The 12,465-nt window shown below is 44.3% G+C and overlaps 1 protein-coding gene and 1 long non-coding RNA gene across 9 annotated transcripts in view, besides 1 other annotated feature; one reads left to right on the top strand and one right to left on the bottom strand.

The window, feature by feature from the left end:
- EXTL3 (exostosin like glycosyltransferase 3) overlaps positions 1-12,465 on the top strand; it is a 148,827-nt gene that overhangs the window by 81,287 nt on the left and 55,075 nt on the right. The gene's annotated exons all lie outside the window — the stretch shown is intronic.
- Positions 9,381-12,442, bottom strand: EXTL3-AS1 (EXTL3 antisense RNA 1). The gene is made up of 3 exons (NR_126027.1): positions 12,338-12,442; positions 10,419-11,021; positions 9,381-9,452 (listed from the first exon to the last, which is right to left on the bottom strand). It is a non-coding gene; the product is annotated as an EXTL3 antisense RNA 1 (long non-coding RNA).
- Positions 12,218-12,397: a silencer, noted in NCBI's record as "silent region_19062". NCBI's record gives its function as "represses an Ori minimal core promoter by ATAC-STARR-seq in GM12878 lymphoblastoid cells {active_cell/tissue: GM12878}" and the evidence as "EXISTENCE:reporter gene assay evidence [ECO:0000049][PMID:35858748]".

The following is a 12,465-nucleotide window of genomic DNA, read 5'->3' on the forward strand; positions in this document are numbered from 1 at the left end:
CTGGAAGCTCTCCTTCTTATGGTTTCTTTGGCTTTGAGTTTCTGCTTCCATTAAATTCTTTATCTTACTTGTATCTGAACTTCTGTGGCTGTTCTCATTTCTTGGTTCTTTGCTGACCCAGTTGTGGAGCTCAGCCCCTTGCAGTCTTTTTTCGTAATTCTCCCCCAAATCACTCACATAAGGCATTTGTGCATGTGACAGATATTACTGAAGGCTTAGGGGATTTTATATCCTTAGCAACACAAATAACTTAAAATTCCGACAATAGATATCTCTATTTTAAACATTCTCCGGCTCCCCTATCACTGGGAACTCTCTCCCACAGCTCCAGCCTCCCACACTGTTATTTGAGCCCCATCTCTTCTTATCCACCTCCATTTCCTCTCCTCCAGTCCCCATGTTTTTGGATTTTAAAAAATATAGATCTGACTAGCTGTCTCTTTGCTTCAGAGTTTTATTCTAAGTCATTCTCTCTTTTTCCATACTTCAAATGTCATTTCAAAGTAGTTTCCTAAATAAGGCATTTTCCATCCCTAAGAACTCTAGCATCTACTAAAATAATAGTTTTCACCTCAATACTTATAGTTTTAAAGGTGGAAGGAAGGCATTTCAAAGAGTTCATATCTGTTGTCTTCTATTTTCTTAGTGAAATATAAGACATGCTCCTCTTTTAAGGTATGGATGAGTCTAGCAAAGATTTGGACAGCTGGGGTTAGGGATTCTGTCAATAGACATTTACCAGTTTTCTAAAATTTCATAAAATACCATATTTACATAAAGTAATTCCTTTAAGCATATAAACTTGCAGGATTGAGTCCCTTGCTAGAGATGGATTATTCAGTTTACTGAGTACCCTGGTCAATACAAGAAAAGTAGAAAAAGCAACAGAGAAGAAAAAAGTCAGAGTATGTAAACTAAAGCCAGGGTAAAGGAGATCACAGTCTTTGCTGATCCGATCTCTCTTCCAACTCAGCCATAAATACAGTTTCTGCATTGCACCACATTGCATCCCTGGGGGGCTACAGGGATGTTCATTTTGTGGCTGAAATAGGATAAAAGGGTTGTATTTATTATCTATTGGTCAATAACAAATTACCTCAAACTTGATGGTTGAAAGTACAAATATTTATTTATTTAACTTTAATTTAAAAAATATTCTACACATTAATTTTAATTTTTCTTCTCTCTTTCTTTCTTTTTTCTTTTTTTTGAGAGAGTCTCGCTCTGCTGCCCAGGCTGGATTGCAGTGGCACAATCTTGGCTCACTGCAACCTCTGCCTCTCAGGTTCAAGTGATTCTCATGCCTCAGCCTCTCAAGTAGCTGGGATTATAAGCACATGGCACCACACCCAGCTAATTTTGAAAATACAAATATTTATTATTTCATAGTTTCTGTAGGTTAGGAATTCAGAAGTGGCTTAGCTGGGTGTTTTTTCTGGGTGGTGGTGGTGGTGGTGGTGGTTTTGTTTTAACTTTTAAGTTCAGGGGTACATGTGCAGGTTTGTTGTAGTAAACTTGTGTCATGGGGGTTTGTTGTACAGATTATTTCATCAAGCTGGGTGGTTTTGGCACAGGGTCTTTCATGAGACTGCAGTCATCTGAAGGCTTGACTGGGGCTGGAGGATCTGTTCCCAATCTTATTCATGTGGCTGTTGGCAGGAAGCCTCAGTCCCTCACCTGGGCGTCTCCATAGTGTTGTCACAACATGGCAGTGAGTTTCTCCCAGAGTGATCTAAGAAGGAGAAAGCAACCAAGATGGAAGCTGAAATGCCTTGTGTCGTTTAATCCTGGGAGTGACATACCTTCACTTTTGCTGTGTTCCATTGGCCACACAGATGGATCCTAGTTAGGGTGTGGGTGGAGACTTCACAACTGTGTGAATACCAGGGGGCAGGGATCATTGGGGGCCCTTTCAGAGGCTGGCTGCCATGGGAGTCTCCAAAAACATTCTGTATTGCAGGGGTGAAGTTGGGGGGAAGTGTATGCCTTAATATATATGTGTGTTGTTAGACAGGCTAGACTGGTATTATAGTTACCAGACTTTTAGGTTTAATAGACCAGTAAAATAAAAAATAACTGGGTAGGGGATACCAAAATTAGTATATTTCAGTGTTTTGTTGAGTGAGAAAGATACAGAAAAAGCTGCCGTTGACCACCACCATGGTCATTTCATAAAAACACATTTTAACATAAAAAAGGGAGAATAACATAATCTCAGAATAAAGTCTAATCCTTTCAATTGAATCATTCAGCTTTGTTAAAAACTCACAAACTTGTCTGTGCTTTTCGCATTTAACTGTGGACTGATGAAAACTTCATCCTAGCTTGGTCAATAAACTGTTATTCAGGAATCACTGAGCTAGACCATAGGATGCTCCAGTAACTTTCAAGATGACTGTGAAGATCATGTAGAAACATAATACTTCATTCAAAGTAAGTGAAAAAGAAGGACTTGAAATGGTTGACACATAGAGATAGCAATTTTATAAAATTATGCTCATGAGCTGGAAGGAAGCCACAGAGTTGGTAAATATTTATCAGTTTTTGTGATTTTTTTTTTTTGCTATTGTGTTCCTACTAATATGTAGATGTTGGCCGGGCACGGTGGCTCACGCCTGTAATCCCAGCACTTTGGGAGGCTGAGGTGGGTGGATCACCTGAGGTCGGGAGTTCGAGACCAGCCTGACCAACATGGAGAAGCCCCATCTCTACTAAAAATACAAAATTAGCCAGGCGTGGTGGCGCGAGCCTGTAATCCCAGCTACTCGGGAGGCTGAGGCAGGAGAATCACTTGAACCCGGGAGGCAGAAGTTGTGGTGTGCCGAGATCACACTGTTGCACTCCAGCCTGGGGGGCAACAGCGAAACTCCGTCTCAAAAAATAAAAAAATTTAGATATTTATTATTTAATTAATGAAATAAAGATAAATAGAGCATTATTGAAGCCTGGTTAAATGTACACGAAAGTAAGACAAGGCTCAGCATGTGCTTTTAAAAAGCTTTCATAGTTAACACATTTCACAGATATTTAATATATTTTTTGAGTATTTGCATCATTTATGTCAAGTATCCTTTTTCTAAATACCTCTTCACTTTAAAGATATGCTTTTCTTAGTAACCTAGATGATGTAATTATACATGTTTCTTTTGACATGAGGGTGAAATATCTAACACTGTCCATTAGAGATGGGCTTTGGATTGTTGGTTTTTTGCCCTCCAAATTGATGGATTTGTAGAAATATGGTCACATTTTCATTTGGTTCCACTTTTGATCTATGGCATAGTGTTTGCAAGGCTGAAGGCTTGGGTTGGGGAAGGGATCAATTATTATTGTGTTCTGGGATTGACTTGGACCCTACTAGAATCATGCTGTCACCTTTTGGGTTGAGAATTAATTTTGAGTAATATTTAGGAAAATAGGGGAAAACTTTCTCTTCAATAAAATCTTATTGCAGATCTTCATAAATTGGTTTAAAACCTATATATTTTTCTTTTGAAAATTCCTGTGGTGGAAACTACTGTTTCTTTCCATACATAAAGTCCAAATGTTATTATCAAGTTATATATATTTAAAAGTATTTAGCATAATTAGTTTTGGAAATTGCACTTTCAGTTTTGATTTTACAGCCAAATTGGTTGACTAAGAATCTAATTGATGTTCTTTAAGAACCTCTATGAATTCTGCCAGTTTTCAGTTGGAACGCCTTGTTCACACAAGGCATTTTTAAATGAAAGTAGTGAGCAGTTGATTTTTTGAATCTATGAATAACTTTTTTTTGGTGTAAGGACAATTCTAGAGTCATTGAGCTGTATATAAATGTGACACTGGAACTCAGCCATCAACACTCTGCCTAATTTTACTTCTTTCCTCTGGGTATAGCTCTCCCTGCACTAAGTTCTTCCAACAGTCAGACCATGTTGTGACATGTTGCGTCTAACTGAGCACATTTTTGCTACTCACTGGCATAATTTAGGGTAAATGTTAGATGCCTTTATGCTTGCCTTAGGGAACATTTGTAGGTGCAAGCTTAGAAAATTTTGATGGCATTTTGATACCCGCTGTTGGCGCTAGCTAATTTGAGTCTTAATTGGTCATTACAGGTTAGGTGTCTTATGCAGATAACAGATTTTTTTTTTTTTTTTTTTGAGATGGAGTCTTGCTCTGTCACCCAGGCTGGAGTGCAATGGCATAATCTCGGCTCACAGCACCCTCCGCCTCCCAGGTTCAAGCAATTCTCCTGCCTCAGGCTCCTAAGTAGCTGGGATTACAGGCGCCCGCCACCACACCAGGATAATTTTTGTATTTTCAGTAGAGGTGGGTTTTTGCCATGTTGGCCAGTGTGGTCTCAAACTCCTGACTTCAGGTGATCCCCCCACCTCTGCCTCCCAAAAGTGCTGGGATTATAGGCATGAGCCACAGTGCCCAGCCACAGAAAACAGATTTGAATCAGGCTAAGCTTTCTAATGTGAAACTTGAATGTTTATTTTTTTTTTTATAGCCACATGGCAAGGCAGAGAATACTATGACATGAGGTAATGAGTTAACAAATAGTTTCTTAACAATAAAATGTGTTTTGTCTTGAAACTGATATTAACTCAGTGTTGCCACAAATTATCTGTGAGCCACCCAAATGGCCCCACCTTTGGCCAGACAAAAACCAGCCACTTTTAAAAGGTAACATCAAAGCCAGGACTTCTAGAGTGAGCCATTTATCAGGGTAATGAGTGCTATCCCTGGAGCCTTAGAAGATGACCTTTTGGCTTTTTGGCACTGATAGACCAAAGAGAAGAGTAACCTTGGAACCTCAATCTAGAAATTGTCATGCATTGTTCTAATTATAAGCCACAAAATTGCTCAGTCATTTATATATAGAAAAGATCTTGAATAGTGGCTGTCAGCACTTTCTTTTAAAATCAAAGCCTTACAAATAGACTAAGTTCTTATCTGACTTAACCTCACTGATAATTCCCTTTGAAGATTGCTGGGGGTCACCAATGGCTTGTTTGGGATTGATCTAGAAGGCTTGCTGAGTGGATTGTGGGGCTGGCAGCCATTAACATGGAAAATGAGGCACCTCCCTCTCTGAGACTTGAAGTAACTGTTATCACCAGTTTCTCCTTCTGTGGGACTCAAATCCCCTTCTCCTGGATATTAAACACGTGGGGAAAAATAAGCAATCAGTGGGGGCCCCCAAGAGAGCATTTGCTGAAATCTGTAAACTAATTTATTGGTAAGAGAACACAGACTTGTTTGGCATATCTGTCACACTCTATGCAGTTTACATTTCTCTGGCTTGTATACCTCAAACGATAATTCCCTTGTGAAAGAAATGTGTGCACCAGCTTCTCTAGACAGCCGATCTTTTGTATCATTTCTACATTTGAACTCATTTAACAAATCAAATGCCTTTGTTAAATCTACTAATGCAGCAGACAATTCACATCGCCATGGTCAGCATTTCTCTTGCACCACAGCGGAGCACAGCTGGTAAAGTTTCAGGCTCTGGAGTTAGACTGTCAGGGTCCAAAACCTGGCACCACCACTTACTAGGCTGGTGATTTAGGCAAATTAGTTAACCTCCCTGGGCTTCATTTTTCTCATTTGTGACAAAGGACTAATAATGGTCCTTATTGTTTAGGGTCGTTAAAGGAGCACATGGGATGACACATGCAAAGTGCTTAAGAGTCTGGCTCTGAAATAACTAAGGGGCTGGGCACAGTGGCTCACACCTGTAATCCCAGCACTTTGGGAGGCCAAAGCAGGCAGGTTGCCTGAGCTCAGGAGTTCGAGACCAGACTGGGCAACCTGGCGAAACCCCATTTCTACTAAAAATACAAAAAACTAGCTGGGCGTGGTGGCACATGCCTGTAATCCAGCTACTCGGGAGGCTGAAGCAGGAGAATTTCTTGAACCCAGGAGGCAGAGGTTGCCAAAACTGAGCTGAGATCACGCCACTGCACTTCAGCCTGGGTGGCAGAGTAAGACTCTGTCTCCAAATAAACAAACAAACAAAATAACTACTTAGTTTCTTCCAGGGAAGAACATGCAGGGTCATGTTTGGTGGCCGGAGACAGAAACGTATTCATGTTAGTTTAAGTAAATGAGGATTTTTTTTTTTTTTTTTGAGGCGGAGTTTTGCTCTTGTCACTCAGGCTACAGTGCAGTGGCGGCATCTTGGCTCACTGCAACCTCTGCCTCCTGGGTTCAAGTGATTCTCTGCCTCAGCCTCCCGAGTAGCTGGGATTACAGGCACCCACCACCATGCCCGGCTAATTTTTGTATTTTTAGTAGAGATGGGGTTTCACCATGTTGGTCAGGCTGGTCTTGAACTCCTGACCTTGTGATACACCCGCCTCGGCCTCCTAAAGTGCTGGGATTATGAGGATTTTTTAAATAGTAAGGCTACATAAGCAATCACGTGGACACCCAGTGTCACCTGGGACATGTGGGTACCACAGGTCAATGTCAACAGCCTCTGAGGCTTCTCCATCTCTGGTGGGTTTGTTTGTTTCCCTCTCTATGCTGACTCTATTTGCTTCTGTTTTCTGCAGACCAGCTTTCTGAGCTTATCACTGTGCACATGCCCAGAAATTCTTTCTTGCAAATATGTGTAAATTAATAGATCAAGCACTCTGTCACGTGACTTAGTTACAGTGACCTGTTCCCACAATTCCAGGTAAGAAGTCCAGTAGGCTGGGACCAGAGGGAAGGAGGTCATGCGGTAAATATAGTGGCTCCTTCCAAAGGCTCCAGTGTCTTATGTGTCTAAGAAGGGGGCATAATGGTGGTGGTGATGGGGAGGAGGTGGGGAGTGTGGGAATAATTGGCAACTCCAGGATAATCATGGTGCTGATGTTCAAGGGAGATTAAAGGTGTCTTACTTTGAGTGCCAATTATTTATTTTTATTTTTTTAAGACATGGTCTCGCTTTGTCACTCAGGCTGGAGTGCAGTGGTGCGATCACGGCTCACTGCAGCCTCAACCTCCTGGCTCAAGCGATCCTCCCACCTTACCCACCTAAGTGTGCCACCATGCCAGGCTTTTAAAAATTTTTTGTGGAGACAGGGTCTTCCTGTGTTGCCCAGGCTGGTCAAACTCCTGGACTCAAGTGCTTCTCCCACATCAGCCTCCCAAAGTGCTAGGATTACAGGTGTGAGCCCACCACACAAGCCCAATTATTTATTTTTTAAAAACTTTTTATTGAAGGATGACATACATATAGAAAAGAAGATGTATGAGAAGTGTAAGCTTGATGAATGTGACAAACTGAACACACCTGTGAACCCAGCACCCAGCTCAAGAAACAGCATTATCACTGCCCAGATGGCCCCTTTTGTTCCCCTTACTTAAGACTCCATAAGGGTGAATTAATTTTGCCTGTTTTTAAGCTTTCTATCAATGGAATCATATACTGTACACATTGTTGTGTGTCTGGATGCTTTTGTTTAACATTGGGAGAGTCAGCAATATTGTGTATATTTGCAGAACACTCATTCTTATTGCTGTAAAGTATTCTGTGCATGCATACACTATACATATACACTTTTTTTTTTTCGAGATGGAATCTCGCTTTTTTACCCAGGCTGGAGTGCAGTGGTGTGATCTCGGCTCACTGCAACCTTGGCCTCCCAGGTTCAAGCGATTCTCTTGCCTCGGCCTCCTGAGTAGCTGGGATTACAGGCACATGCCATGACAACTGGTTAATTTTTGTATTTTTAGTAGAGACGGGGTTTCACCATGTTGATCAGGCTGGTCTCAAACTCCTGACCTCAAGTGATCTGCCGGCCTCAGCCTCCCAAAGTGCTGGGATTACAGGTGTTAGCCATTGTGTGGTGGTATATTTTATATTTTATCTGGTCTACCTCTGATGGACATCTGGGTACTTTTCTGTTTTTGTGTAAATGGTGCTGCTGTGAGCTTTTGTTGATCATGTACACATTGCTGCTAACTATTTTTACCGTCACTGGCTTATACTAGGTATAATGAATTATCTTCCATCATGTGTAACTGAATTGATGGTCACTCATGAGTACTTATGAATACTGTTATGCTTTTTTTATCTGGTGACTTCTTTTTATGTGGTAACTTTCATGGTGTGAGGGCAGGGCCATGTTTTATACATTTTGTGTACATAATAGAACCTTAAATATATTTCTATAGATGCTCAACTATTTGCTGATTGAATGAATGAATAAACAAATGAATGGTGTGTGCCTCCCTCTTTTTTGGGAACAAGCTCTATTTACAAGTGAGGCCCCCAACTGTGATGTTTGGACCAGGATGACCTGCTGCTTGGCCAAAGCTGATTGATTAAAGGGGTGGACACACGACCCAAGCTGGGCCAATAATGTCTCTCTTACGGGAGTTTAAAATTTGGAGCTGAAAGGACAGTGGATGCTGCTGATGCTCGGTCCTTGTGATTGTGCTCCAGACAGAAGACCCACAGGCTCCTGCTGCTGGGTACCAAAGGTTCAATGCGTCCTGCTTTTCCTAATTTTTGGATGTGGATAAATATCTACACACATGGAGGGGCTGGGTGTGGTGGCTGATGCCTGTAATCCCAGCACTTTGGGAGGCTGAGGTGGGCAGATTGCCTGACCTCAGGAGTTCAAGATCAGCCTGGGCAACATGGTGAAATCCCATCTCTACTAAAAATAAATTAGCTGGGCATGGTGGTGTATGCTTGTATTCCCAGCTGCTCAGGGAGGCACGAGAACTGCTTGAACCCAGAAGGCGGAGGTTGCAGTGAGCCAAAATCACGCCACTGCACTCCAGCCTGGGTGACAGAGCCAGACTCTGTCTCCAAAAAAAAAGAAAAAAAAAAAAAAACTACATACATGACTGTTAAACAACAAATGCAAAACTATTTTGGATTCAGTTTCAAAATACAAAGTAGAGATAATAAGTGCTGTAAAATGTCAAAATATGGAGAGATCAGTGAAGACTCACTTCATTGTGCATACTGTTGCCTTGGCTTCCTTCTTGGGGACAGCTGCTGTGAATGTGACCATATTTTCCAAGCCAGGATTTCAGTGTTAAGGGATGGGCCAGGAGAGGAGTTATGGGGATTTGGGAACGAGAATGGGATGTAGGTGTGAAACTGTAGAGGATCAGTGGTAGAGATCCTACAAATAAAGCCTTTAAGTCTTGGAAACTGTTGAATGTGAAGGTAAAGAGAGAAGTCAAAGATGATGCCAGGTTTTGAGTTTCTGGGTTAGGAAAGATAAAGGTAACTATTTTAAACAAGGACATTTGAGGAGTGCAAAGTGGGAAGGGGTAAAGATGAGTTCAGTTTGGGATATATTAAATTTAAGGCCCTGGTGAGATAGCCAGATGAGCACACGAGTTAGGAAGATTTGCAGTCCCGTGTCCTTTGCTCCATGCTCTGTGGTGTTGGACACCTTATTTAGCTTCTTGAAGTCTCAGCTCCCTATCTGGCAGCCGATACTTCCCTGTAAGGATTAAAGTGAGACAGTGAATAAAAGGGTTTAGCTTATTGCCTGGCAATTAAGTATCAGAAAGTATATATTAATAGGGTGATGAAGGCCCCGCGTGGTGGCTCACGCCTGTATCCTAGCACTTTGGGAGGCCAAGACAGGCTGATTGCTTAAGCTCAGGAATTTGAGACCAGCCTGGTCAACATGGTTGAAACCCCGTCTCTACAAAAAAACAAAACAAAACAAAAATTAGGCCGGGCGTGGTGGCTCATGCCTGTAATCCCAGCACTTTGGGAGGCCGAGGTGGGCGGATCACTTGAGGTCAGGAGTTTGAGACCAGCCTGGCCAACATGGTGAAACCCTGTCTCTACTAAAAATACAAAAATTAGCTGGGCACAGTAGTGCGTGCCTGTAATCCCAGTTACTCGGGAGGGTGGGGCAGGAGATCACTTGAACCCGGGAGGCAGAGTTTGCAGAGAGTCGAGATCATGCCACTGCACTCCAGCCTGGGCAAGAAGAGTGAGACTCCGTCTCAAAACAAAAACAAAAACAAAAAACAAAAATTAGGCACAGTGGAAGGGATCTATGGTCCCAGTTATTCCAGAGGCTGAGGCGGGAGGAACATCTGAGCCCAGGGACATCGGGGCTGCAGTGAGCCGTGATCGCACTACTGCACTACTACACTCCAGTGTGGGCGACAGAGCAAGACCCTGTTTCCAAAAAATAAATAAAAATAGGATGATGATGATGATGTGAGGGTGTCCAGAGTGCTACTGGGCAGCAGGGCCCCAAGCTCTGCTGTAAAGGACCAGCTTGCAGGTGGAGATGATGCAGGGAAATTGGTTGAAATTAGCAAGAAGAGAGTGTGAGAAGGAAAAAAGAAAGTAGCCCCAGTCATATCATTGGCAGAGAACACAAGGTAGGAGAAGGAACAGGAGCTAGAGGAGACTGAGACAGGGGAGCAGGAGAGTGCAGACTCACAAGATCAAAGCGGAGGGGGGCTCAGCAGCAGGTGAATATCCCTGTTCTTCCTAAGGCTTCATAATCTTTTTGTTGTTGTTGTTCCCTAGATGGAGACTTGCTCTATTGCCCAGGCTGGAGTGCAGTGGTGCGATCTCGGCTCCCTGCAACCTCTGCCTCCCGGGTTCAAGTGATTCTCCTGCCTCAGCCTCCTGAGTAGCTGGGATTATAGGCACGCGCCACCACGCCCAGCTAATTTTTGTATTTTTGGTAGAGACAGGGTTTCACCATGTTGGCCAGGCTGGTCTTGAACTGCTGACCTCGTGATCCACCTGCCTGGGCCTCCCAAAATGCTGGGATTATAGGTATGAGTCACGGCGCCTGGCCAGCTTCATCATCTTTAAAAGCAAGTAAGTCAAAGTTAAGGGCAGCAATGTGTTAAGTTACTCCAACGTAAAAGACTGAGTCGAACAGGTAGCAGGTAACTGCACGTCCTCTCTCGCCAGTGTGGAGATGAACCAAGGCCTGGTAGTTCTTCCCTGTCTTCTGTGGTGTCTCCTCCCACACTGCCAAGCCCCTGCCTGCTGTGGCCGCGTACCTTTGGAGGAGAGCCAAGTAGAGGAACTGTTAAAAAAAAAAAAAAAATTATGATACCCAGGCAACACTCACTCCATTTTCATTTCCTGCAATACTTCTGATTTTTAAACTTTGCCTCCTCCTGTCTTGACTTCAACAAATTGGTAACAGTAAGGGTTGCATATGTACACATATGATGGCGGTAAGACTTGGAAAGCATTTGTTTATAATAATCAAGAGGAAAGGAGAAGAAAAGTGAATAGGAGACGGGAGAGCAAGAGAAAGAGGATAGGAAAAGGAGGATCCGAGTCGGGACTAGTTTGGGGGTGGAGAGATGAAGAGTGTGCTCTAGGAAACAGGTTGCTATGGGTTTTTAAAGGTTTGTTTTGCAAACGTTATCCTTAGCCCAAGCTGTCCCCCGTGGGCATCAGTCTTCAGCATTTTCTCAGCCTCCTTGCTGGAGCACTGGGCCTGGGCTCCAGCAGAAAGGGCGAGTGGATAAGGTCGGCAGCTGCGAGCCTGTCTCTGGGGTGCAGTTCTTCTTAAGGCAGCCGACCACCCAAGCGCAGGGCCAGGAGCCAGCTCTACCCGGCTTCTCCAGGTCCTGTGTGTTTGGGGTTCCCTGGCGAGGAAACCCTGGAGTAGAAGCCCTGTGTTCTGGGTATTAAAAACATTAAAAAAAATACGTTAAGACAAATTTGATCGTAGCTCATACTGCAGTTACAGGTTTTAAAAGCTGGTTTCTAAGTTAAGCAGGTGACCAGGTAGGGTGCTTGCTCCCACCCCCATCCCCTGTTCCATTATCCAAGGGGTCTTATCCTGACTTCTCAAGTGTGGAAACACACAGTCACGTGTTCCTTGGGACTGTGGAAAACGTGCACTTTGGGGCTCACAGGGGCTGGCTTTTCAGCATTGACACGGTGTTCTTCTTTCCTGTCTTGTTTTGGTGATCATCCCACACGACTAGATTAACCTGTTGTTTTTGCAAAGCCCCAGGATTTTCCTAAGCGTCCAAGCCGCCCGGCCTTGTCTTTGTTATGAAATAGTCAAAGGGCTTCAAAACTGCAGGCAGTTGCCGCGCACGGCGCCCGTCCTTGGAGGCCTTTTCTCTGAGAATGGAGTTTTAGATTCAGGGATTTATGACTTGACTTTCCCGGGGCCGGCGCCCCTGCGGAAGCGGCGGTGGCTCGGGAGTCAGACCCGGTTCCCACGCCGCCGGGAGCATCCTCCCCGCCATCTGCGGTCGGGTCTTCTCGACAGGGCCCGGCGGCCTTTGCAGGACGCGAGTTGGGGGGCTCCGAAGGCGGCCGGCGCGCCCCCCCGCGCCTCCCACAATCCCCGGCGCCCGGCCCCGCGCCCCTGACCCGGGTGTCACCGCGGAGCTGCGGGAGGCCTCGGCGGTCTTCGGACGCGGTCGGGAAAGTGGCGAGCGCGCGCCCGCGTCCGCGCCCCCGCTCGCGAACGCCGGCTTCGGCCATTTCCGGCGCGGCGC

Source organism: Homo sapiens, chromosome 8, assembly GCF_000001405.40.
Source record: "Homo sapiens chromosome 8, GRCh38.p14 Primary Assembly".
Classification (NCBI taxonomy): Eukaryota; Metazoa; Chordata; class Mammalia; order Primates; family Hominidae; genus Homo; species Homo sapiens.